Source organism: Homo sapiens, chromosome 1 (genome assembly GCF_000001405.40).
Source record: "Homo sapiens chromosome 1, GRCh38.p14 Primary Assembly".
Lineage (NCBI taxonomy): Eukaryota > Metazoa > Chordata > Mammalia > Primates > Hominidae > Homo > Homo sapiens.
Genome location: NC_000001.11, coordinates 66,316,050 through 66,343,957, shown reverse-complemented (window position 1 = coordinate 66,343,957; position 27,908 = coordinate 66,316,050). Strand labels below are relative to the sequence as shown.

The window sequence follows — 27,908 nt, the reverse complement described above, 5'->3', positions numbered from 1 at the left end:
CTCACCATCATACAAAAGTATACTGGAAATGCACATTGCCACTGGATAGTCTAAAAATGTTTCATAACTTTAAATTTCTGAAAATACAAAAAAAAAAATTCTATCTTTATTATTGTTCTGTGCCCACCAGTGAGGTCATTACCCATGCCAGCATTCTTTAAAAGCAGGATAATCTATTAAAAGTGCCATGTCAACAAATTTCTTAAATGATCAAGAAAACTGCAGACAGCTTTTTAAAATAAACCAAAAATCAACTACCACCAACTGACAAAAACTTTCTTTGCTTTTCACTTCCATCCTTACAATTAAACAGAAAGAAATCTATGCCTCCTTGGCATGTATTAGCCCGAATCCTGCAAGGAAAGTGGAGTCTCAAACATTCAAACTTGCAATCTGAGCAGACATAAATAAAATCCCAGATAACTAAAATGTTAGCTATGGTATTAATTGATAAGATAGGTAAGAGGATGGCCTTTGAAAATGTTATGGAAGTTAGAATAGCTAAGGGAGGGTTTCAAAAAAAGCCCCACAGTTTGGCGTCCTAGGAGCAGAATCATAGCACAGGGTCTGATCTGATGACATGTTTGAGCCAAGGGGAAGTTTTCTAGTCAATGGAATATGAAGATGGAGGGTAAATCCCTCTGTTTCTTTATTCTCAAGTGATGATAATATTCTTAAGCCATATTTTCCATAGATTTTCTGACATTGAGGGTAGAGAGGAAGTTGGAAGTCCACTGTTTTAATCAAGAGGAGCTACTAACAATTTTAGTCTCTCTTTTTTAAAAAAAATCTGTGCCTTTCCTTTTTATACACAAATGATTCTCCTAGCCTGTAAATGGATTTTCCCTCAATAAAATCTCCATTTTAGTTTTTTTTGTTTTTTTTTGTTGTTGTTTTTTGACAGGGTTTCACTCCCATCACCCAGCACCCAGGCTGGAGTGCAGAAGTGCAGTAGTGCGATCTTGGTGCACTACAACCTCTGCCTCCAGGGCTCAAGCGATTCTCATGCCTCAGCCACCCCAGTAGCTGGAACTACAGGCATGCACCACTGCGTCCGGCTAATTTTTTGTATTTTTAGTAGAGACAGGGTTTCTCCGTGTTGGCCAGGCTGATCTTGAACTCCTGGCCTCAAGTGATTCGCCCTCTTAGGGCTCCCAGAGTTTTGGGATTACAGGCGTGAGCCACTGGCCTGGCCTCATTTTAGCTTTGTTTTGTTTTTTTTTTTTTGAGATGGAGTTTCACTCTTGTTGCCCAGGCTGGAGTTCAGTGGATGTGATCTTAGCTCACTGCCCTCTACCTCCTGGTTTCAAGTGATTCTCCTGCCTCAGCCTCTCTAGTAGCTGGGATTACAGTGTGTGCCACCATGCCCAGCTAATTTTTTTTCTTTTTTTTCTTTTTTTTTTTTTTTTAATTAGAGACAGTATTTCATCATGTTGGCCAGGCTGGTCTCAAACTCCTGACATCAAGTAATCCGCCCACCTTGGCTTCCCAAAGTGCTGGGATTACAGGCGTGAGCCACTGCGCCCAGTCACTTTTTAGCTTTTTAATTCAGGTTTTCTGTATCTTATTCCAATAACCAAAACACTAAGCTTTCTTACTCACTTAAGAATTCGAAATTTTCTTTTAATTTCTTACATTATATACTAAGGAATTTTCTTTTACTTTGTTCTACTTTGAAATGTAAATAATGATTAGAAATTATGGAGAAAAAAGAGCTAACGTTAGACTCTCAAGGATCTTCTGGAATAATTTCCCTTAATAAATATTATCCCAAGATGCTCAATTCCTCGAGTCATTTTCCCTTGATTTTTCCCGACATTTAAATAATTACATTAATAGTTTATTATTTATCCAAATTTTATGGCAAAATACTTGCAGTATCAGCTAACTTAGGGATCTACACATACTAAGACTGATTTTAAGTTGGCTAAATACATAAAAATGTGTCTCTATATGCTGTGAATTAGACTTATTTGATTTAAACTATTTACAAGGCAGCTGCCAACACCATTGTACCTAACTCCACTAGGATCTTGGTAATATGACTCAAGAGTCTAGAAATTATATTTGAGCTGTGAGAGCTTTACATAATCTGGCTCATTGTGCAGAAACATTCTAGGGTGTAGGGAGAGGGTCAAACTGGAATCACCATCTCACGTTCAACTTTCCATGCTAACAGCTCTGCAAAGTGGCAGAGAGAACCCAAGGCTTAACAATCCAAGTGGTAAAACTTTCCAATTTATCATCTTCAGTTTCAGAGAGAGGAAAGAAAGAAATAGAAAGAAGTTAAGGGCAGTTACACTAACCACAGGGTATTTTTACTACCTAAACTTTGACATTGGAATGAGTGAGAAAGCAAACAACAATCAAAAGCCTCAAAAATTTAAGGCTTTTTTAAAAATTCTGAAATTAAAACCAGGGGCATTTAAAGTAACTCACTCCAACTAGTTCTTGCTATGTTTTGATCACTAAATTTTCAGGCATACTAAATTAGTTCTCTTTACTTGAAATTATTAAGACACTTATGTATACCTTTTACTCAAGAAACGTAAATGAAGAATGAGAAGTCTAAAAGTCAATGTAAACAAAAGAGAGAATGTCCCATGTCTTTCTCAAACATATCTAGCCTTTTGCTGAAGATGAACAGTAAGCCAGATTTATGATCAGACCTATACTTTAATACCTGAATCCCACTAATACACCTTAAGACTTTGGAGAAGTCATGCCATAATAAAATTACTTTTCATTTAGAATGTGCTCTATATTTTACAAAGTTATTTGGAGTACATTAGGTACTTTAATCCTCACTTGTCATTAGTGGCAAAAGCCACCTCTTTTTCTCATCTATAAAATGACTTCAAATAGAAATAGAAAATAATACTTAAGGCTCTCTTCTAGGCTTAAAGTTCTAGGACTTTGTCTAATGTAATCATGTAAAACTATAACTAGAAAGAAAATGTTTAGATCTTTTTTGGTTTGATTTATCAAATTTCATCAATAGTGACCAAAGACATTAGATAGTTGGTAAATTAATACTTCACTGTGCCCTGTCTGATTGGCTTTAGCATAGCCTATATAATTGAGTTGAAATCTATTTTTATTTACTGATAATTTTTCTTTTTACTATTTTCTTTCTAAAACAACTACTTAAAATCTATCTTTTTAGATATCAAATGCCAACACCTCTTGTCCTAAATCTAAAATTTAAAAATTGGCTTAGTCATTTTTACTTCCCAGTATGTGTATTCAAATTTCATTTTTATAATTGCTTAAAGTTAAAACATTATGCACTATGCTGTTAGCAAAGAGTGAGGGGATGGCAGCCATGTAAAGTATTTAATAGTTAATTAAAAAATTATAATTATTTTGAGTAGCTAAAAAAATTAGAAGATGAAAGTTACTGAGCCATGAAGATACATTTTATTTTAATAAATTTACTAAACTTCAATCTTTGGGGGCTCTAGATTTCAAAACTGATACATTTTAAAATTACAATTAATTAGCAGAAGGAAAAAAGTGACTGTTGAACAGAATGGCAAGATTTATAGCTTTAAAATCTATTCCATAAGAAGAAAAAATTATCTGGCACTTCCCAAAGCAGAAACAAAAGAAACAGGAGTTTTACTGTCTTCTTCGTTTCTAAATAACTTAACAGTCCTTTCTTTGTGGAAGCACTTGGCTACTTTAAAGTCAATCAAACAAAGGAAGTTACAGTGAAATACACAAGAGACTAAACAGTTTGGCACCACTTGAGGGAAACATCACGTACAAGTGAGCAAGACAGAGAGGTGCTGGTAGGTCCCTGAAAAATGCTAGAGGGAAAGGATGCTCAGGAAAGCATATTGACAACTGGCACCATGCCTTCAAGAGTGTGAAACCTATTGACTGTGGCACAAATTTGCCCTGGCATCTTCTTGTTTAGTAAGTCCTGGCTTCCAGATGTCTGAGCTATCTCCACTTGTTGAGCACACTTTTACTCAGAAGAAAAATGTTTTGGAAGAATACTGCAAATGCAAGCACCATCGCCCTTGGTTTTTCTTTCATAGACAACAATGGCATACAACCTAGGAGCCTTTTAGACTCGGACATATTCTAAAAAAAAAAAAACAACAAAAAAAACAAACAAAAAAAAACTAAACAATTTTTAAAAGATGAGAAAAAAGTATTAAAAAAATGGAGACTAAACATTTATTCTGCTAACGGGTTGAATTCTATTTTTGAAGACTAGTGTTCTACATTTACATTTACATTTGACAATCTAAACATAACTATTATTTTTTCCCCAATGTGGAGAAAGATACTCCCCTTAAAATGATTTATTTATCAGATTTTGAGACTATTATGCTCTCTTATCAGGTAGCCAGAGGTAAAACAATCAAAGGCAATGTCCTCTTCATTTCTGTTTGTTTTTTAGAGACTTGCTCACTTGAGGACTTTCAAGTGAGTTAGGCAGAAAGATTGGGCCAAATGGATTACCATTGAGTAAAGAAATGGTTCTGTTAAAACCAATGAAGAACTATTTGAATAAAACAAAACAGATTACAAATCAAACTTACTACAAAGCACCAAATAACTTTCAAACTCTTTGATTTGCTAAGTTTTGAGAAGACTAGAACTTGGAATACTGAATTGCACTAATACTAATACTCACTAATACAACTCCATTTTGTCATAGAAAGAGTAACTGAAACAATGACAAAGAATAAATAGCTTAATCTTCTCTTTCATCTTTATTTGAAGACAATGCCCAAGGAAAACAGTGGACATGTTACTTCCAAAAATTTCCCTTACATATTACTGAAGCATTAATTCTCTGTTTTATGGTCATGTTCCATGCCTTGGAAAGGTTGTGGCATATAATGAAATTGCCCAAATCATTTGAATGATCATATAAATTAAAAAATAAGAATAACTTATCTCTTTTTTTTTTTTTTTTTTTGAGACGGAGTCTCGCTCTGTCGCCCAGGCTGGAGTGCAGTGGCGGGATCTCGGCTCACTGCAAGCTCCGCCTCCCGGGTTCACGCCATTCTCCTGCCTCAGCCTCCCAAGTAGCTGGGACTACAGGCGCCCGCCACTACGCCCGGCTAATTTTTTTGTATTTTTAGTAGAGACGGGGTTTCACCGTTTTAGCCGGGATGGTCTCGATATCCTGACCTTGTGATCCGCCCGCCTCGGCCTCCCAAAGTGCTGGGATTACAGGCGTGAGCCACCGCGCCCGGCCAAGAATAGCTTATCTCTATTTCCCTTTTTATTTTGAGAAGCAGGGAAAAAGGGAATTTGGGGTTAGTCTACAGTGCTTTGAACAGACCTTTACTATCTTATCTTAGGCTATGTTGGAGAATTTTAAGAAACAGATAGTGAAGTGAGCAAATTGATCTGAAATAGGCAATGGATTAGTTTAATACTATTATTTGCATTTTTATGAGCACTTTATAACCATTTTCTATAATTGCGATTGCTCTTTCCCCTTACACTGCTTCCCAGGCAAGAAGACTGAGCTTAGGGCAATTAATGGCCATCCTAGAGGCTGTGAGTATGGTAGCTACAGAATATAAATTTGAACTAGGCCTCACTAATAATGCTTGCCACAGTTGAAAGAACAAGATCACCCACCAACCAATCCAAAATCCCCTTAGAAGAATTATTAAATAACTCTAAACTTTTTTCTTTCTTTATATGCCTCATTGGGATCATTGATGGTAAGTCAGATGGACTGGATATGAATCCTGGCTCTATGATTTACCTTAAGCAAGTTATTTCAACTTTGTATGCCTCACTTTACTCATCTGTAAAGCAGGAATAATAACAGTACCTATTTCAAAGTGTTACTGTGAATATTGATTACAGAATGAGGTAAAGAGCTTAGCACAATGTTTGCATACACCTGTAAAGGTAGTTCTGTTGTTTACTAATATTATTCAATCAATAAACTGAAGAGCTGGGTCTTTTCCAATTATTTTGTTTTATAGAAGAGAATATGGAAAGATTCCAAATAGTTTTATTGTCTATATTACTATACCTAAGTAAAGGCAGGGCTAGAACTCAAACTCATGGCTTATTCCTAGGCTCTTTTCACTTTATTTTGCTCCCTCCATAATTTAGTCTATATAAATCTGAGCAGTAAAGAGAGAAAAGTTGAACCAAAAAAATGTGTGAGTGCCCACCTGGCTACCAGAACTGATTTTAATTCTATTCTGCCCTCTAATCCAGGGTCACCTCTAACATGTGTGGGGCCACACACTGTAAGTCTAAATATACAAAGATATACATTGAGCTATCTCCTTTACCTTGACAGATATCCCTCCATAACAGCCTGGAAGGTCAGGTTGAATTTAGAATTCTTGAACTCCTTGGATATGGGTTGGCCCTCCTCTTTCCCCATGTCCTTCCATCTCCAGGGACCTGTGAGCAGCCGTCGTGAGCCCTGGACCGCAGCCTGCTTACCCAAGTTCCTCCTACACAAGTCTCTTCACACCTCTCATTGCTGCCTCTTGGTTAAACTCCTTAGGCCTAAGGGTGTGTATGCCTGCAGCACATCCCAGGAAGAGGCTTGTGTGGCCGGGAAGTGGGTTCAAAGCCATTTGGACAGAGAATGTGGGGGTCCAGCAGATGCAAAATGTAGTTTAGAGAGGGGAGCAAAGCTGCTCCCTTGGCCCGGCCAACTCCTTACTTCCTTGGGTGGAGGGCAGCAGAAGGAAGGCCAGGCTAAGGCCCTCTGATTACAGCACAGGGCCCAGCAAATGGATGCATCTTATGCTAAGGGCGGCACTGCTGTAATCATATCATTACATTTTAGGCAAAAGTGGCATGAATATTCCTTTCAAGGACTGAGCGCCTGTCTACCCTCTCTCTTACAGAGTTCTAAGATGAATCCATTGGCCAGTAAGATCTATTTCCTGTCAGTTCTGCAGGAGCTGGCATTTTCCATAGTTATTGATTATTTAGTTAAATACAAAATGGTTCACCCCTCATTAGGGCAATCAGCCTGTCATGATCACCATCCAGTGTCATGCAGCCTAATTCCCAGCTGGCTCGGGGCCTGGTAGAATAGTGTGACTTTATCCTGCAAACCCAAGAGCACTGGCAATTAGTTGCCTTTGTGCTCCATGTTTAGTACTGTAGTATGGCTGCACCTGAAGAACTGGAAAAATAAGCCTGCATAGCCAGGAGGACTCACTTCCTCATGATGGTTATCTGTAGCCGACTTCACAATGCCTTAAGAGAAGAAGGACCATCTATCTTCCATTTCTATCTTAGCAAACATTTACTCAAGTGCTAAGTCCTAATGCTTCATTCTAAAAAAAAAGTACTAATACACAGGGCCACTCTTCAACAACAGAATATCCATTTTCACCCAGCAGCACCCAACCTTTGTTCTGCATATAAAACAGCCCCAGAGCCAAACCAATGGAGAATGAAAAGGACAGTGGAGGGCGTTTGTGGGGGAAGTGAAGACAGTGACTAGTTGCTTGAATATAGCTTTTCTGAATACCACAGTATGTTCATCTTTTGAAAAACATTTAGCATTCTGGGTAAGAATGACCCTTTTGACGTTTTTCACCTGAAAATTCTAGGTGAAAGACTAGGTTTCTCAGTACAATGAGGGAAGGAACACCTCCCCATTCCCCGCCAGTCACAATTACGCCTCCCTGGGATTGTTCTGGGTTGGTCCTTCCTCAGCCACTGTTGTTGCAACCCTGTACTTTACTGACTGCGTCTGTCAGGAAGGAGACAGGAAATTGTAGTCACCCTCACAGCAGCTGCGCCATTCCTCCTATCCTCCTCTAATGACGTTGGTTGGCTTTGGTGACACGAGGTCAGGAACTGAGCCACAGTGAAGGTCAGGAAGATAGGTCACTGTTTATGCCGTTGTTGGGCTGGGGACCCTGCTGAGGCTATTTGCTTTCTTCCTTTCTATACTGTTTCTCTTTCCGTTCCTCTTTTTATAATGGAGAGCCAAAGCATCCTGTTTTCAAAACATCTGACTGTTTTGCCACTGAGGAACTCATGCTCTGATGCATTTTGCTGAAGTGTAAGACAATTCTTCTAATTCAGGAGGTGATGAAAATTGAAACACAAAATTAATGAACAATTCTAAGAAGGCAATCTGTTGTTAAGCAAAACGGCTAGCTCTAACATGTCTAATCGAATTTGGGCAGCTGGCAGGAGGTTCACTAGCCATCCTTTTCATCTTAAATAACAATACCATTGCCTTGTAAAACTTCTGCTGAACTTATTCCATCTTCTAGTAATTCTTGGAGGAAAATAATTTACAAGACTAACCTACCTGGCAGCACCATTCTCTAAAATTCTGGAATTCCATCTGGACTGTGGCCAGCATTAAGGGATCAGAGAAATTTGGGCCAAACAGAGGACGATGTTTCTTAGCTAACTCTCTAGGCTATGAAGTACATTTGAGAAAGTCTTTTAGGAGATTTGAATCACTCAGTTTTCTTCAAAATTTAAAGGATTAAGGAAAACAAACAAACTAAAAAAGCACAACCCTACCTAGATGAAGTAAAGATGAAAGATGCTTGCTTTTCCTCCACCAAACACAGTTAACTCTCTACCAGTTGCATGTAGACTGCACTTATGTAATTCCCAAATACCCCTCAGCATAACACAATTTCACCTATCGCTGTTCTTAAGATCAGACATTGCAAACAAAACTTAGTGGCCACGTAGCTGAAACAGAACTAGGAACACAGAGTTTTTGCAAAAATGTAGTGGATACCACTGATAAGTACACTCCCTCTATAACATTTCTTCACATCACTTCCAGATCTGCAACTCAGAGATTTACACTGGCTCCTTAGTTGATAAGGGTAAGCAAAATATGGCCAAATAAGACTACATAGTAAAGGGAGTGATGATCATGATAAAGTTTTAAGATGTCAACTTGGATGGAAATCTCAGATAATTTCAGCAACATTGAAAACTGAATATGGAATATAGTTTTTTTTTGCCATGGATAATTCAGTTCCCAAAGAACTGGTGTAGATCAATTTCTTTCTGGTGGCCACAAAAATGTTTGCATTGCATTATCTCGAACTCCTGGGCTCAAGCAATCCCAAAGTGCTGCCTCGACCTCCCAAAGTGCTGGGATTACAGGCGTGAGCCACCACTCCCTGGCCTCATTGCCTTATATCATATGTGTCATGGTGCATGTTATGCTCAAGCTTAACCTGAGACAATTATCTGAATAATCAATAATTTTTTAAAGGTAGTAAAGTAAAAAGAGATATTTTTAAAAATTAATCTTAGCTGTCAGTTGGGCATCATTCATGCACTAAATAATTGCTTTCCCTGACAACCTTTCCACTGTAGAACTAGAAAATGACTGAGGCTGCATGCTTTTTACTTAAGCTAACTGTGTCAGCATTGAAGGTTAGCCCTTTTGTTAGGGTTAGCTCTATTCAACTTTCATTGCTTCCTGCACACAACACCATAAAGGAGGAGCGGAAGCCTGAGGGATTGGAATCCTCACCCGTGTCTACAGAGTGCCTGGTCTCAGAGCCTTACTAACTACTATGCTGAATAAGATTATTTTTAATAAATTTGCAAGACAGTCAATGTCTAATTCCAGCACTCTAGGCATGAATGGGATTAGAATACTACAGCATATTGACACTCAAAATGAAAATTAATGGCAATTTGTAGTTTCTCAGGGGGTACTCTTTTTCTCTTCTTGGAGTTAATTGCCTGCTTTATCTTGGTGACTCTAGTTAGTATATTTTGGTGACTATTGAAGTTTGCCATGTTCTCTATGGTGAAAGCTGTTGAAAAACTACCCCATAAATGTTGGATCTACATCTTGCATAGCCGTCAATTACCACAAAATACAGGGAACAGAGTGTCTGCTAATGCTCCAAAGTAGGCTCAAGCCTTGTGAAAGTCCTTCTACATGGAGTCCCAGTGTGATTTGGAGAAGTTACACAGCAAAGCCCTCCTCATGGGGAAGCAGTTGGTTGAGTTTTACCCCAGCCTGGAAAATCCCTGAGTTTAACCTTCAATTGAGAACTTCAGAGAAAAGTCAATAAATAGTTAATCCTCAAATGTGTTCTTTTCTTTTTTTTTCCCTTCCAACTTAAACTCTAAACTAAAATTTTAGAAAGGGACTTATTTTTGCCCTTTCATTAACCAATAAACAAAGAGTTCCAAGTAGGAAGAGTCCCCCCTCCCCTCCTTCAGGATCTCCTGAGGACACACTGCTTCCTCTGCGCAGATCCTCTGAGCCGCAGCCAGCAAGCCTTGATCCAAAGGTGGTACTTTTACCCCAGGAAAGCTGGAGAAGGGACACACACTCACTGGTGCACCTCAGGGCTGGAAAGGGCATGCTGGCAGGTGTGGAGCAAAATATCTTCTCAGCCCCAGAAACGTAGACAACAAGATGATACTTCAGGCTAGAATGACTGGGACTCTGAAATGTGCACCTATGAGGGTATGGTGTAAGGCTTTTTAACAAAGTGTATGTGTGTGTGTGTGTGTGTACACACACATATATAACTTTGTATAACTTTATAGCAATATGTATTTAATATAATATTCTCCAAGGTAAAAATACAAACAAAAAGCAACAACTCTCACTACATAAATTAGCATTCTAAGTCCAGGTGTTAATTAAACAAATGATATAATGATAGATAATTAAGGCTCTTCAACATTAAGCTTTGTCTGGGGATTGTAAATAAAACCATTTTGGGGGCAGTATGCATGAAGCAATTTCAAATGATTTCACTATGAAAATCAGCAAACTTAAAGAAAACCTCTGGTTTTGGAGACAAAGCATATTGTTTCTTTTTTATCTTAGGTCATGCCAGCATCGCAAAAGAAATCTTAGAAAATCCCAGGATATCCTTCTTTTTAGAGGGAATTTATCAAACTTCAACACAGACCATTCTTTCCCATTGATATATGAAGGTTAAACTACTTTCTTGTTTAAAAATAAATATGTGACACCTGATTGCAATGCAACAAGACTAACTCAGATTTTAGCTTCCTGATAATTGTAAAAAAATTTTAAAGCACTTTCAATGTTATATTGATTTGGAAGCTTTACAGACAGACATCTCTCACCTTAAACCTATTCCAAACTGCATCAGTAAGAGAGAAGTTTTGTTTCTGGAAATTGAAGCGTACTGAGGATTTTAAACTTTTGCTGTAGCATCAAGACACAAGTAGAGTGTGACACTTTGGAAGAGAATCTTCTAGACAAAGCAACAAACATATTCTTAGAGTTGGTAGCATTCCCTGGTGCACTCTGCTGCAGACAGGGGTGAGGGGAGCTGGAGCTCCCTGCATGATCACACTTTAATGAATAAAAAGATCATCTCTTACCTTGTTAGAAGCCATCTCACTGACAGACCGGTAGGTCTGTATGGTCTCTAGCTGGTCTAAACACCAGTCTAATTCCTCCAGCGTTTCCATTGCTAATTTTTGATAAGATTCTTCTGCAAACAAACACACAGGCATGTAGTTAGGCTGGAGCGGCTGCAGGCTGTCCATAGCAGAGTCACCGCTACCACCGCTGATTCCGGTGCTACTGAAGGTGCCCCCGTGCTCCTTCATTATTTGCACGCTGGCTCCTTCCTTCCAGCTCTCTCCACCAGGAGAACAAATCACAGTGGTGCTCTGCCTGGGATGGCTGGTGCCAAGTTTCCCCCCAACCCCCCGCCTGGATGAGGTGTCGGTGATCTACCAAGAAACTTCCTCTGAGGAAGAAGGCGGAGGGAACGGTCTCTTATAAGCTCATCTGCATAAATGTGTCCTAAAACTAAAGGCAGAAGCACCAAAGAGTTTTCTCAGACTCTCTCTGCCTTAGTCATCCCAGGGTTCTTTAGGGTATGTGATGTCATTTCTGAGTGCTTTGCCATCTCAAGGAGAAATGAGGAAAGCTTTTTCTCATTTTGCTTTTCTTCTAAATGAAACAGTCAAAATTCGGGTGAAAACTGGTTGACCATTACGTTCAAAGTCTAGGCAGTCATTCATCCTGAGGATTGTGTTCATGTTGGAATAACTTCTAATTCAGCGAACACTGACCCGCACAAGTAAGAGGCATAGGCTATTCCTTTCTCTCCCTTAAATCTTTCCTTTAATTAGAGGGAAAATGAGGTCTCCCTGATAAGACTCCAGTCTAAAAGAAGCTGTCTGGAGTTTTACGTGAACACGTTTATTGGCCTGGGAGTCCTGCAGCTCTTGTTATACTAAACAAAGCTAAAACTTCCCTTCTGCAAGTGCCAGGATCACAGGGAAATTCTGAACCGGACTTTCAGGTGGAGCCAGATGTGAACACTCTGCAGATTTTTATTTTGATTAAAGCTGGGGGCTCCAATTTGTTGCCCTAAGACTCTAGACTTTCTGGAAATATTGTTGGTATTTCACACAAAAAATATTGTTGTGAAAATCACATTTTTTTGCTAGATAATTAAAATTCTTTTTACATATCCTTAACATGTCATTTTATATCCAAAAGTTTGTGAATCTAAACAAATACTTCAGGTTACTGGCTTAAGAAATCTATCTTAATAAGCACTGAAATAACTTTATAAATGCTAGATGAATTAATGAAGCTACAGAGAGTTGTAAAAAGCACTTGGACTCTCCTATATACACGACTGTTTTTGAGAGAAATAGCATTTATAAACTCTACCAAGATTTCTGAAATACAAACACACAATAGGCACTAATAAAATGTAAAATCTCACATGGAGTTCTAATATAACATTCCTGCCATATTTAAAAGACATTTTTATACATTTATACAGAAATTCTAGCAAGACCACATGGTTTTTAAAAATTATTATATGAATAATCTTATGTCTGTGGTGTGCAAATACTTGAAGCAGAAAAGAGAATCAACAGAACTGTGATTCCAAGTAACTGGAATCACTTGGCCACAGACGCATATTTCAAAGAATAGTTGCTTTGTTTATCCCCGAAATATTCATACACTTCAAGATAAACAGGGGTTAAATTCAATATCCTGTATGTCATGCTTAAAAAGCCACAAAACCACTGGAGGTAACTTCCTCCATTTTTTTTTCACACTCTTCAAAAATGTGCAGACAAGAATTGAGGTGTTTTTAATAAAACTCATTTCAAGCCAGACTTACACATACCTTCCTTCCTTTCTTCATCTTCAATTTTGCAATGCTGCCTCAACACGAAGATTCTCTGACTTACTCTCTAGTGTGTCCGAAACAACCCCTTGCCTCCTCTGTTTGCTTCCAGAAGAGCACTTCTTCCAAGGAAGCCTTTTCTGAAGAGACAGAACCCTCCCATTCTCATTCCCTGCCTCTAATAAAGGAAAAAGTCCAACCACTTCCCAGCTGCTGGGGATTTACTACCTTCATGTCTTCCACATCACAACCTGTGGTTCTCTGTAACTAATATTGGACATTCACCAGGACGGTGGGGAGAAAGTAGCTTGCTCCTAGCCTTTTGAATCCACTGATATGCAAAATGACTGCAAGATGATACATCACATTTCTCCTTCATGCAGAGGAAAAAAGGGATCTGATTTCTATTCAAGCTTGACCAAGGAAATACATACAGTAATTATACCCGCAGAAGTACAAAAAAGAGAAGGACTCTTCAAAGATACACCAGTGAGCTCATTCATTGTCTACTGCATGGAACAAGCACTCAGGTACTTCTAGAGTTGGTACAACGTGAGATGTGGGTGAACAGGTAATGGATATGAAGAGACCTTGCTCCATTGTCCTCTCTTCTTCAGATCAGCCATCAAAATGTTTAAGCAAAAATTAATACATTTTGAAGCAATGTTAGTTAGGCTAGAGTATCACTTTCCAAATTCTTAATTCACAGTCAAGACTTTGTGTCCACTTTATAGTCTTCCTATCATGGCAACTAAGCCATGGGCACAGAGGTTAGAGTGTACTAAATAGGGGGATATCAAACACCTGCTACCTATGAATGCAATCAAAGAAAATGACCAGAGCAGCGCAGGACTGGCCTCCCTGATATAACTTTGTAGTTTTAGCACCTAGGAGATACTCAGTAAATAATTGGAGGAATGGAAACCAAATTGCCTAAGCATCCTACAAATACCTGGGCACCTGAAGGCTGAATGGTCCATCTGTAGCACTGTGAAAAAAAGCACCAGATTTGGAGTGAGAATCATGAATATTGACTTTCTCTTCTACCACTTACTGTGTGGTCCTAGACCTCAATTTCATACATCTGTAGAAGAAGGATAAAATATTTATCTCATAAAGTTATAAAGGGATTAAATAAGATAAAATATATGAAGTGCCTAGGATGGTAGCCAGTTCTTAGTAGGTGATAGATGCATAGGAGAATTACTAATGGCAATTGGAGAAATCCTAAGGCCTGGCATTGAAGGGTAGAAAAGAGTGTGAGGAAGAAAAGAAAGAGAGATAGCTGAATTGCACATTCAATAAGGGATTTTACAGTAAGAATCAGCTGCATAATTTGAAAGGCCCAGTACAAAATGAAAGTGCAGGGCCCCTTGTTGAAAAAGCAGTAAAATTGCTATAAAAGATACTAAAATATAAAGTTTTTTCCTTTCTTCTGCATTCTCTCTTTCAACTTGTCATGGTGGTTTTTTCTTCATATACTTTTTATTTTAAAATACTTTCAGACTGACGGAAAAATTGCAAAGATAACACAGGGGCTTCCCACATATCCCACATCCTAATTTCCCCATTGTTAATGTCTTACATTATTATGGTACACTTGTCACAATTAATGGTTTGGTGTGTTTAAATATTGTATTATTTCAGGCACTGGGATACCTTGAGGTGAGTGCAGACCCTCACAGCAACCTGAAGGCCCTGCCTCTTATGACTAAGGGCACGCACATAGCTCACCAGCAGCTGGCTACTCCTTCCTGATAGCCGCCAGACTGACAAGCTGTGTCCCCACCAGGCACAAGAGCTGGGGAAGTCGAATTAGGTATTTCTCCCTTCTCATGGTCCCCAAGCCCCTATCCACAGCAGACAACCCCTTGGATCTTAGCATACTGCTAAGGGTACTGCAACCTCTTAGCAGGGACATGCTGGGTACCTGAAACAGGGGTGGACAAGAGGTTCATCCCCATCAAGACCTGGCCTCTGTCTACCACAGCCATGCCAGCCCAGGGCAAAGACGGCTGCTAACATGTCCCATCTGAGGCTACAAAGCACATGTGGCTAACTCAGACCCTCCCTGTGCCTATACCCTGATTGGGGATGGAGGGCAGCAATGGTCACAAGTGCAGGTGGGAAAAAGGAAGCTGGACGATTCCTAGGGCACCAGCGAGCAGAGGAGAGGATGGTTAGGATCTTGTCCAGGGAGACAGGCAGGTGACAGGAAGTGAGGAAGTGCATGAGCCAAGGCTCCAAGCCACTGGCACATACTCCATTGTCCCATCAGACATCATTTATAAAACACAAGTTCAAAGATAGTATTATTACAAGTTTTAAGATGGCAAATATGGAGCCCTTCTGAGCATAGGGCCCTGTGCAACCCAACAGGTTACATGCCCATGAAACTGGGTCTCTTCCTGTCTTACATAAGATGGCCCTGAAAAGAAACAATGTTTAACACCACAGAAGCAAATCTCAGAGGCAGTAAGAGTAGGTCATGGGACCATGTATGGTCATGCAGTTGAACTTCGCTTTCAAAAACTTCCAGAGGGAAGAAGTAGGGAGAACCAACCTCCCTTCTCTTGCTCTCTTCTTTCCCTCTTTCACTCCAACAAGAGTGGCACAGAAAGATTTTCTTCCTTCTATAAGTTTGCTGGGTATTGCATTTGACTCTGAGAAACAGGAAGAGAAATTTAGTAAATAATTATAATATTAATCTGCTAATGATATATGGTATTCAAATAGCTCTTTTCTCAAAGGAGCTCCCAGCACACTATTCGTTAATCTTTGCAACATCTTTGTGTGATAGATACGGAAGTAGGATGATTATCTTATTTACCTTAAGGCATAAACTAAGAAATCAGAGATTAAATTATTAGAGCAAATAGTTCCCTCCAGATTCCTAGCAAGACTATATCTTGGTCTATGAAACAGAGGATTCAGTTTAGCACTGAAAGATGCACCTATTCCTGAAAATGCTGCATTTAAAGTTGCATCTTACCCTCGGATCTCTTCCATTTAAAATTGCATAACTGCTTTCCTAAATGTTGTCATTTCTGAAGTCTCCACTTCCCTTTTCTGATCTACCTAATGCACAGGGAAGCTGTGCAATATTTACTCAGAAGACCTGGTATGGTTCTTGTCCTGCATCTTGCTTCAGTGGGTTACCTTGGGTAAATTACCTATGTTCTCGAAGACTAAATTTATTTATCTCTAAAATGAGGATAAGAAAAATATCCTATTCTCATGGGAAAGGTAGAATCAGAGAATAAACACAAAAATGGACTGTAAACCTTTTAGTATTAAATATATTTTGCAAATATCTCATTTATTGTTACAGATGGGATATAGGCACATTTAGAAAAATAGAAAATTGCAGAGAAGCCAAAAATTCAAATGATAAAAAATCTCACATTTTTAGCAGTCAGAGATCACCATTGTTGACTCCTTTGTGCATGTCATGTATGTGTTTGTGTGTCTGTGTAAACATACATATGTATATAACATAAATAGGATCACATTGTACAAACTGCTGAGCAACATTCTTATTTTCAGTCAATGATCTTTTTATTTTTTTTCTGTTTCAATGATTTTTCAGTTAATCTAATACTTAGGTTCATAGACCAACTTCCCCAGCTTTTTAAATGCCAATCTAGTAGAAATGGGTGTGTGAGTTAGCAGAGTCCTGTTGGGAAGAGGGAGAGATCCAGAGAAGAGTGACAGGAAAGGGTAATTAGAAACCTCTGCCTGGCCACAAATAGCTAGTTGCTCATAGTTAGAAAACATGGGGACACATTTTAGCAGTTATGAAATCAGTGGCCCCACTGGTGAAAGACCTCAGGTGCCCTAAAAGCTGGCCCTGCAATCTGTGCAGGGAAGTGTAATCTTATGACTACACTGATCTCTTGGAAAAGTAGGCACAGGGGCCCTTTATGTATCTGGCATCATTTAACTTTGAAACCTTAAGTCTCATGGCTTGTAATACAGTTGAGAAAACTGAGGCTGAGAGGAAAAAATGCTCTGCCCTCAATTACACATGATTAGCAATTGAAAGCATCACAATATTACCCAAATATAAATTTCCTATAAATTATATCTAAATGATATTCCAACATATCTCTATATATCAGAAACTTATCTGTCAAGTCACCCACACTTTCTATCCACAGAAAGCACACAGAAAAGAGCTGTACATAACCTTTATGGGCCTCACATAATTGGACTCCCTTTCTATTAGAGAAGGTGGTAACTATTTGCAAAGTTATTCTAGTGGCTAAAACAATTGGACCAATTGCCACATGCAGCAACAGGAATGAATATCATAAACATAAATGTGGAACAAAGGAAACCAAATATTAAAATGTATATGAAAAAATAGTATGGGTCAAATTCCATAAAGTTCCAAAGAGGCAAAAACTAATCTATAGTAATAGAAGTCAAGATATTGGCTACCTTGTGGGCTTAGTGACCAGGAGGGACTTGAAGGGCTTTCTATAGGGTTGGCAATGATCTATTTCTTGGTCTGGGAACTGGTTACATAGGTATGTTCACTTTATAAGAACTCACTGATTTCTAAACTTGTGATTTGTGCACTTTGCTGTCTTTCTGGTTGTCCATGTAGGCTTTCAACAGATAGTCCCATCTAGGGGAAGCCCAGTTTAAAAAAACAAGAGCAGAATTTCTAAAAAACATTTCCTTTCCTTTTGTTTAGCTATAACAATGGGTATCAACAGAGTTTGAGTAAATCTCACATAGCTAAAAAACAACGACAAATGTTGGTTTTAATGTGACATAGACCAGGATGCCCTACTAACTCAAAATTCAGTGGAACACAGTAGAGTCTGCCCCAGCTGTTTATAAATCATAACTGTGCCATTTAATAGCAATGTGCCCTTAGACAAGAAAAGTAGCCCACTGTGCTTCCATTTCCTCACCTGTAAAACAGGAAGATAGTTTAAACTAGGTGTGAGAATTAAGTGAATCAGTATACGCCAAGCCTTTGGTACAGCATCCGGCACGTGTCAGGAACTTCTCCCCTCCTTCCCACCACTTCTCTGGTCCTGGGTCACTTTCCTGATGATATATTGACATGTATTTGACAGCTGAGTCATTGACAGAGTTTTGATTTGGCCCTGGGAAAGGAAGCATTTGTAAGGTTGGCCATGAAATCCTAAAGCGTCCTTCCCACTGTAGGACTTCAGAAAAATGCATTCTTGACATTTGTCTTAAGTTAGAGACTGTTGGTTTCCACTTCTAAAATATAGAGCTGACCTGATGGATCGTTTTTTCACAAAATTCTAACTGACATACCAGGTCAGTGGCCTTTCAGATGTGGAGAATTGTATAGGGAAGTTGTTTGTTCATTCATTCAGCAAAAGTACACTGAGCATCTGCTATGTGCCAAGCCTGCTGCTGGGTGGGTGCTGGATTACAGCAATGAACAATACACTTCAGGAGTGGTATTGTCCATTGTAGCGAATGATTATATTGGAAATCCCTTTTCCTTGTATAAATAGTAAGTCTGTGAAGCTAGGCGCCTTCTCAGCTTCCTCCCATAATCTTCTGATCTTTGTAAATGAGAAGTGTGTATTAATTGGATTATTTACATTCAGCTTTACTTTTAGCTTCATTCACAAGCTTCTAGCCCTGTAGATGTCTTACGTTTGGGTTGCTCCTATGGCTCTACATGCCTTTAAGTTAGCATACTTACTCCATTCTTCGGTTCCTTCCCATAGTGCAATAAGTACTTGATAAAATGTAAAATAGTTTCATACATATAGGAATTGGCATCTCTTTATGCAAAGGTGTTAGGTTGAGGCTACTGGCCTATTTATCTATTTATTTGGCAATCTTGGTTGTGATTTTTTCCCTTAGAGTTAGATATAATTTTTCTTCATCATGAGTTATTATGTCCAAATATATAATATTTGGTAAATGAAGCACACTCAGGTTAGAGTGCAACATTTCAAGAGGGCATGTTATTTTAACCTTGGGTAAAGTATCTATGGAACAAATCATAAGAACAGGAGAACATGTACACACTGCAATGCAATTCTTCCAAGACCAAAGTTTGCAAGCCCTATATAGCCTTTCTTTAGGCAGAACTTTGTTAGCATGTCTTTATAGATATGGAACTTTGCAATTGCATATGACAGGGATTTCACTCTGGGTGGATTCATAAAAGAAGAGGTTCACTGCCCTTAAGGGAAATAACAGTGAAAAGTAGGTCATTTTGATGCCGATCTCTTTAGCAAATTCCTCTAAGACTACAAGTAAAACAAAACTTCTAATCACAACTGGCTCTTATATATATAACTTGACAGTTTACCAAGCACTTTCACTTGCATATCTCATTTTTTTCCTTGAAAAATAACCCCAAGAGAGAAATTATTATCATTATGACATACATTTTCCATTATGAATGTGAGAAAATTGAGGCTTGGATGCATTTAACAATTTGCTCAAAGTGATATGATGCGGCTGGGAGGGAGGGAGGCAAAGAAGAAGGACAGAGAGATTGAGAGGGGAAGATGGGAAAAGGAGGGAGAATGAAGGAGACATTTTAATTATATTGATTGACATATTGATTCTAAATTCCATAACTTTTTTGCTAAACCACTGGGCCTGTTATAAATAAATGGTCTAAGTTTCTCTTTCTTTTACAGAGATAGGCTTAGTCAAGGCAAAACTATGTCTTTGATGTGCCAGCCTCATAGCACTGTTTCCTTTTGGTCTACCTCCCACTCTTTTAATGTCCTTACCCTTAGGAAAACCTGCTCTCCAGAACTCTGCCTTTGGCATTTATATGCTAACGAGAATCTGTTCTCATCCAGCTAAAACATGTACCACCAATGTGAAGGGATGTTCAAAGAACTTAATTATCTACCTGTATTGGTATTGAAGACCAATGACACAAGAAAGTGATAGGGATAGAGGCAAGCTGCTGTCCAATTATTTTTCTAACAAAGTAAATATATTGACAAAATATTTATGAAGGATATAGAGCAGTGATTAAAAGCTTGGTCTCTGGGGTTAGACTGCCTTGGTTCATATTCCAGTACCACCACTTACTGTTATAAAACTTTGTTACATAAGATGTTACTTCTCTGTGCCCCAGTTTCCTCATCTGTGTAATGAGAATAATAATAGTATCTATTTTAATGGGCTGTAGCATCTGGTTAACAAATAAATAAATGTAAAGTGCTTAGGACAGTGCATGGTACATTACAAGTACCAGATGAATGTTGGCTATTATTTATTGAATATGATACGATAAATAATTAATGAGTAAAATTTTTGAGTGCCTATTATGTTGTAGGCACATCATGAAACTCTAAGGGTATAGTGCTGAATATTAGGTTTTGCTTACTTGAAGCCTATATCCTAAGAGGAATAGAAAAATAATTATGCAAAAACTTAGTACAACTTGGAACAGAGATACTAAGAAGTGTAGAATGCTATAAACATTTATAATAGGGATAACCAGGGACCCAAAATCTGAAAAGTGGGATGTGAAGGAAGGCCTGCCTTGGAAAGTTATGAGATTTTGAGGAATAAGAATTAAGTGTCAAGGGAGAGGAAAGTATTCCAGGCAAGGGGAACATCAGAGTATGCTCATGAACGCAGACAGGGAAAGACTGATAGGAGAAGCTAGATCAAGTTATATACAGCCATGGAAGGCCATGCAAAGATCTTGTATTTTATTCTGGAAGCAACTGGAAAACTTGGTGGAGCTCTTTCAAAGGAGTGGCCCAGCCAAATTTGGATTTTAAAAAGATCCCTCTGGCTGCAATTTGGAGAATGAACTTGAAGGCAAGAATGAAATCTAGAGACTAGAAATATGAGGTTAGCTAAATAGTATTCAAGAGCCCCATATCTACAGGAAGACATACACGAGTTTGATATCTGGCTTTGCCATTTGAGTTACTCAATTTCTCTAAGCCTTAATTTCCTCATCTCTAAAATGGGGGTAAGCATATCTTGTGGGATAGTTATGAAGATTAAATGAGGTAAACCATACCAAAACACATAAAACATTACCTAGTAACCTAGTTAATTATCCATCCTAGTTGCTGGTAGCATTTGTTATGATCTAAATGTGTCCCCCCAAAATTCCTGTGTTGAAACCTACTGGTTTCAACACAGGAATTTTTTGCGTTCCTATTTCTCCACATCCTCTCCAGCATGTGTTGTTTCCTGATTTTTAATGATCACCATTCTAACTGGCGTGAGATGGTATCTCATTGTGGTTTTGATTTGCATTCTCTGATGACCAGGGATGATGAGCATTTATTCATGTCTGTTGGCTGCATCAATGTCTTCTTTTGAGAAATGTCTGTTCATATCCTTTGCCCACTTTTTGATGGAGTTGTTTTTTTCTTGTAAATTTGTTTAAGTTCTTTGTAGATTCCGGATATTAGCCCTTTGTCAGATGGGTAGAGTGCAAAGATTTTCTCCCAATCTGTAGGTTGCCTGTTCACTCTGATGATAGTTTCTTTTGCTGTGCAGAAGCTCTTTAGTTTAATTAGATCCCATTTGTCTATTTTGGCATTTGTTGCCATTGCTTTTGGTGTTTTAGTCATGAAGTCTTTGCCCATGCCTATGTCCTGAATGCCTAGGTTTTCTTCTAGGGTTTTTATGGTGTTAGATCTTACATTTAAGTCTTTAATCCATCTTGAGTTAATTTTTGTATACGGTATAAGGAAGGGATCCAGTTTCAGCTTTCTACTTATGGCTAGCCAGTTTTTCCAGCACCGTTTATTAAATAGGGAATCATTACCCCATTGCTTGTTTTTGTCAAGTTTGTCAAAGATCAGAGGTTGTAGATATGTGGTGTTATTTCTGAGGACTCTGTTCTGTTCCAGTGGTCTATATCTGCGTTCTGGTACCAGTACCATGTTGTTTTGGTTACTGTAGCCTTGTAGTATAGTTTGAAGTCAGGTAGCATAACGCCTCCAGCTTTGTTCTTTTGGCTTAGGATTGTCTTGGCCATGCGGGCTCTTTTTTGGTTCCATATGAGCTTTAAAGTAGTTTTTTCCAATTCTGTGAAGAAAGTCAGTGGTAGCTTGATGGGAATAGCACTGAATCTATAAATTACCTTGGGCAGTATGGCCATGTTCACGATATTGATTCTTCCTATCCATGAGCGTAGAATGTTCTTCCATTTGTTTGTGTCCTCTTTTATTTCTTTGAGCAGTGGTTTGTAGTTCTCCTTGAAGAGGTCCTTCACATAAACAAGGGGCCATCTTGAAGCAGAGAGTGCAGTTCTCCTCAGACACTGAACCTGCCAATGCCTTGATTTTGTACTTCCCAGCTTCCAGAACTGTGAGAAACAAATTTCTCCTCTTTGAAAATTACCTAATCTCAGATATTTTGTTATAGAAGCAAGAATGGACTAAGATGGCATTATGACTTCTTTATTACAGCAGTCTATGCTGGAGATGATGATAGCTACAACCATGTAATAGCAATGGAGATGAAGAGAGGTAAATGGATTTGAAACATTCATAAGTTAGAACCACATGGCCTCTAAGGTGGTGGAATTTGGTTGATGACCAAAATTCAAGTCACTTCAGCCTTTCAGGTCCAGAAATGTAATTTTGTTAGTGTATTTTGAGTTCATTCAGTTTATACTAGTTCAACTCACAAGAGCCCAGTGGCAAATCAGAGTCCAATGAATTAATAGAGAACAGTAATTTATAAAAAGCTTTTTATGTCTTCTGGTAATCACATGTTTCCCTATGTGGGAGGCCAAATTCTAACCATAAGATGGCTTGGTAAGCATGAAATCAGAGCAGGAGAACTAGTTGGATGGTTTAAATGGCTCCTTTCCTCAAGCCTGATATACTCAGCTCCCTTGCTGAGATAGATTGTATAATAGTTGTTTCTGCTCAAGCATTTCTATCTGCCTAAAATGCCTTTCCCAACTTTGTTCACCTGGCTAGCTCTTCCTTATCTTTTAGGATGCAGCCTAGTGTCATCTCCTCTACAAAGTTTTCTAAATATTCTGAGGTTGGATTAAGCCTCCTTCCTCTAAGATCTCACAACACCATATGCAAACCTCTATTTCCAAATGACCATATTTCATTACAAATATTTCTCTTGGTTTTTCTCATCTATTAGATTCTAACCTTCTTGAGGGTAGAGAATCTATTTTTTTAGTTTTTTGTGCATCAAGCATCTATTACCTAGTAGAAGCTCAGAAAATATTAGTTGAAATGTAGACATGCCCAACATATCAACAGATGGGCTATGCATTACCAAAAAGAAAGGGGCCTTTGCTACTGAACAGTATCAAAGACACAATGTCCAATACTTGTCCTTTGTTCTTTTTTTGCTAGTCTCCAAACAAATCACCTTCTTTTTACTGATTTATTCAGTGTTACCACAGCTAATCAGCTCTATCTTTCTTTTGCATTCATGTGTTGATTAGATTTCTAGGCTGGCTAGTTTTTATATGGGAAACATTTTGCCTCTCAATAGCACTTCTGCAAAATCACTTGCAGATTTGGATATTTAACTCTCACTGAGTACCCACATTCAGGCATCTTGTTGCAAGTCTCTGTGCACCAAGAGTTACTAGAATCCCACGTGGGTTTTTATAGCTGTCATAAGAAAGACACAAGCAAAGTTCAGAGGCTGCAGAGATAGAGTTCAAGGACATGAGGGAAAACGAGATCATGAGAGATTTGGAGGCCTGGTAAAGAAGAATGGGTGGAAGTTTGAGAGGTTGGAAAATGAGGTAAGGCAATGGACAGCATTAAGAAATATACCAAATTAGAAATAGGTCACACCATTCAGTGTTGTTTGGGTAGGACAAATATGAGAGTTCTAGTTGGTTAGAACATTTGATTTGAGTAAGTGGGTTGAGTAGGATAAACTTCCAAAAGTAGTGTGGTCAGGGCCAAATTTTGGAGAGGTTTTTAATGTTAGATTAAGGAATCTGACTTTATTTGGCAGGCAAGAAGGAACCATTGGAAACTGCTCAATGGAAGAATAGCATGCACAAAATGGCTTATAAATCCCTAAATACCATTTTATAGTTGTCTAATTCTTTGCAGTTATAGACCACTTTCTTATGCATTATCTCTTTTAATCCTCATCTACCTTTCGAGAGAGGTATTATTGTCTTTATTTTATAGAGGAAAAGCCTGATGAAGCTCAGGGAATTTTCATGTCTTCTGGTCACTACAGGCTTCACCTCAAATCCCATAACTAGAAAATGTAGAACCTGGAAACTTGAATCTAGGCTTTCTGACTCCAAGTTCAGTGCTCTTGATATATACAATACAATCTTTAAGAAGATGAGCTATTGCTCTGGTAGCAGAATTTTATAAAAATTATAAGAGTGCAGAGAATAAGCACTTGGTAAATTATTAACATCAGAGAATATCATTTGTAGAAAAAGATAGGAGCTTAAGAAGTAAGGAGGCCTCAAATTAAGATGTTATCAGAGGGAACACAAGGGTTATTTATCCCTCAATTTTATCTTTATTTGTAGAATGAAAATGGTCGAAGGAATTTCAAGAGTCAGTGAAGAGTAGAAGCAAATGTGTTTGCTGTTGAGAGTGAAGGTGCTGGGTGAGGAGGAGAAGAGGACTAAGAAATTTCCAACCTCTTGAAACACTACTAGCTAAAATCTCTTTCATCTGCCTAGAGGAGAGTGTCTCTGCCTGATGCTATCCTGAGTGATGTCTCAGATCACACACGACCTTGGATACATCACTTTATGAAAATCGCATTGTATTTTGTAGTCTAAGTGTTGTAAAGAGCAGAAAACCTGTTATATACAGTCTTTACCAGTTGACATGCGCTTTCAAGTTTACTGATTTTCTTCTGCAAACAAAGCCATTAAAGTTATCTCCATTTTTACAAATGAGATTATTGAGGCTCATGAAGGTGACATGACTTGCTTTAGAATCTGGAATGTCTACACTGTGCTATCAATATGGTAGCTACTAGTCACATGTGGCTACTGAGTACTTAAACTGTGGCTAGTCTCTGGTCAGATGTGCTGTAAGTGTAACATACATGCTGAATTTCAAAGTCTTTGTATGAAAAAATGATGTAAATTGCTCAATAAATGCATATATTTGATTACATGTTAACTATTTTGCATATATTAAGTAAAATATGTTAATAAAATTAATTACACCTGTTTCTTTTTATGTGTTTACTAGAAAATTTTAAATTACCTGTAGAGTGTTTATTATATTTCTATTGGGAAGCACTATTCTAGGTCATAAGTCTATAGCCAGGACGTGAACACTCAAAGGCCAGCATTCATTCCACCATAATTGCTTGTCTTAAAAGAGGTGGTAATAAAAATAATGATTTTTTGCTAATATTCAGTAACTTTCCAGAATCACAGACTTAGTGGATTCAGACTGAGGCAGTTTGCCTCCAGTGTGATCAGGAATGCCTTAGGGGCTATCTCAGTTGGGTGAGTCTCAAGGAGACATTTGGATTGGCTTAACTTTATTTTTGACCCACCATAAGTCAGGCAGTGTGTGAGAGACTATGTATAATATTTAATTAATCTTTGCCACACCCCCAGTAAATAGTTATTATCCCTGTTTTATAGATGAGTAAACTGAGGCTCAGAGAGGTTACATAATCTGCCCAAAGTTACAACACTAAGTATATATTAGATCGTGGTTTCTAATCCAGCCTGAATTCAAAGTTGATATTCATCACTATACCAGTCTATAGAAGAGGTGCATCTGAATCTCCTGGGGGTGATTCCCAGGCTAAACCCCAGATGTATAAAGCAGTCTTGGCAGACTGAGTTCTGGGAATTTGTTCTTTTTAGAATTGCTTCAGGTGATTTCCATCCTCAGCCAGGTTTGGCAATAACCACAATGAGTCCTTCAACATTTTTTTTCCTGGGAGTCCCACCTCCTCAATCTTGCCTAAGAGCTGATAAATTATTTTATTTTATTTTATTCTTTTAGAGACTGGATCTCACTCTGTCACCCAGGCTGGAGCACAATGGCGTGATCACGGCTCACTGCAGCCTCGAACTCCTAGGCCAAGTGATCCTCCTACATCAGCCTCCAAAGTAGCTGGGACTACAGGTGCTTACCGCCATGCCTGGCTGATTTTTAAATTTTCTGTAGAGATGAGGGTCTTGCTGTGTTGCTCAGGCCGGTCTCGAACTCCTGGGCTCAAGTGAGCCTGCCACCTTGGCCTCCCACAGTATTGGGATTACAGGTGTGAGGCACTGCACTAGGCCTGACTTAAAAAAATAATAATAAAGAAAAGAAATTTAAAAAAAAAAACAGTTTTTCTTTGAGGCACCCTTCAGTGGGACTGACCATTCATCCCAACAAGATCCCTGCTTCTCTCAAATCTTATCATCTACACCAAAATGTGGGGCCTGACAGTTTAATTAAGAAGGGATAAGCATAGATTTCAGAGATAAAACAGCCCTTCCTCCTAAAGACTTTCTTAGTAAGCATCTAAGCAGTCTAGGGCTGTGTCTGAAGTGTGCGGGGTAGGGTTTGGTGCAGCAGAGGTGGTGAGGGATGGAGGAAGGAACACTTTAGTAGGAGACTCACAGGCTCTTGAGGTGATTTATGGGGTTCTGGATGATTCAGTAAGAACCCCTGGATGTGAATGAAGACACTGAACAAAGAAAGCCAAGCAACTCTTTTTGGGTTGGGGTTTTCTGTGTGTGTTAGGAAAGATTAACAGTTATGATTTTTGCAGCCTCTGTGGGTAGACAAACAGTTGCTTTATGTGACAGATTCAGAACTTCCAATGAAATATAAAATTAGGCCTCAGGTTTCATGGCAACCCAACTCCACACAGTAGCAAACAAGAATTGTTTGAGAATGAGAGAAAGAAGCCAACACTGTGTATGTCACAGCTAGCTCACTTTCCTTTGGCCAATTTCTCCTAATTTAGCAGTACTTCCGTTCCGGCCCTAATTTCCCCTGGTTTGTAAACTACGTCACTTAACTGAACTCAGCTCCAGACTTTAGAAAAACAAAATTTTGTATTTCAGCTATGGTTTTCTTGGCATTTCTCCCTCTGAAGACTCTTACTGAATTCTGATTTTTCCTTTTTACCCTTGAAAGATTGTAGCTATCAGCTGTGCTTACTTTTTCCCTGTTGGTTCCTTTCTAATGCAGTGTCTAATGCAGTATAATGCAATGTCTGTTTAAATGTGATTAAAGATTTCAGTGTTTGGTTTAGACCAATATTTACCAGTGAAATCCTGCCAACATAAATGTGCAGGCTAGGTAGAAAATATTGGCTTAAATCAATCTCCCCCTGAACACACACATACAGACAGGACTGTAAATGTTTTGCATGTCACTTCTGATATTTTGGCCTCTTGTTGCCAGCTTCACACATATAACAACTAGACACAGATTCTGCAAAGTCTTAAAACTGGGATAATCTAGATTATAGATGCCTAAGGCAATTTTTAAAGGTTGTTTTCTCATTAGTGAAGGTTTGATGTTTTTGTTTTTTGTTTTGCTGGTTCTTCTGGCATTTACCATATAATATCATGTTATCTAGTTTGGAAGATTTCCTTGAATTATGTGAATTTGTATTATTTGAAATAGTAGTAAACAAGGGAATATTAATCTTTTAATGAAGAGATTACACTACAAAGTTCGTTGCAGAAACATACAGCAGACATTTTGAGATTGTTGAATCAGCCTTGCTGGGTGATTGCTTTAATTTAGCAATCATTTACTAAATTGAATTTACTCACTGATTGAACTTATTGAATGAATGAATTACTGCTACACTCTGACTGGATTTCAAATAGTTGTAGTTTGGATT

At 38.5% G+C, this 27,908-nt stretch overlaps 1 protein-coding gene across 11 annotated transcripts in view, besides 5 other annotated features; it reads right to left on the bottom strand.

Moving 5' to 3' along the window:
* Positions 1 to 27,908, bottom strand: part of PDE4B (phosphodiesterase 4B) — a 582,070-nt gene that overhangs the window by 30,622 nt on the left and 523,540 nt on the right. For 7 of the 11 annotated variants that reach the window (NM_001037341.2, NM_001297440.2, NM_002600.4 and 4 more), the window contains one exon: positions 11,338 to 11,450. In NM_001037341.2, coding sequence (NP_001032418.1) covers positions 11,338 to 11,450 — 113 coding nt within the window. The other 4 variants (XM_005270925.3, XM_006710680.4, XM_005270924.4 and 1 more) reach the window with 4 other exon arrangements.
* Positions 3,678 to 3,972: a silencer, noted in NCBI's record as "tiled region #6178; HepG2 Repressive non-DNase unmatched - State 24:Quies, and K562 Repressive non-DNase unmatched - State 24:Quies". NCBI's record gives its function as "represses a minimal TATA promoter and a strong SV40 promoter by Sharpr-MPRA in HepG2 and K562 cells {active_cell/tissue: HepG2 | K562}" and the evidence as "EXISTENCE:reporter gene assay evidence [ECO:0000049][PMID:27701403]".
* Positions 6,863 to 6,912: an enhancer, noted in NCBI's record as "active region_1152". NCBI's record gives its function as "activates an Ori minimal core promoter by ATAC-STARR-seq in GM12878 lymphoblastoid cells {active_cell/tissue: GM12878}" and the evidence as "EXISTENCE:reporter gene assay evidence [ECO:0000049][PMID:35858748]".
* Positions 6,973 to 7,022: an enhancer, noted in NCBI's record as "active region_1151". NCBI's record gives its function as "activates an Ori minimal core promoter by ATAC-STARR-seq in GM12878 lymphoblastoid cells {active_cell/tissue: GM12878}" and the evidence as "EXISTENCE:reporter gene assay evidence [ECO:0000049][PMID:35858748]".
* Positions 10,306 to 10,355: an enhancer, noted in NCBI's record as "active region_1150". NCBI's record gives its function as "activates an Ori minimal core promoter by ATAC-STARR-seq in GM12878 lymphoblastoid cells {active_cell/tissue: GM12878}" and the evidence as "EXISTENCE:reporter gene assay evidence [ECO:0000049][PMID:35858748]".
* Positions 10,386 to 10,445: an enhancer, noted in NCBI's record as "active region_1149". NCBI's record gives its function as "activates an Ori minimal core promoter by ATAC-STARR-seq in GM12878 lymphoblastoid cells {active_cell/tissue: GM12878}" and the evidence as "EXISTENCE:reporter gene assay evidence [ECO:0000049][PMID:35858748]".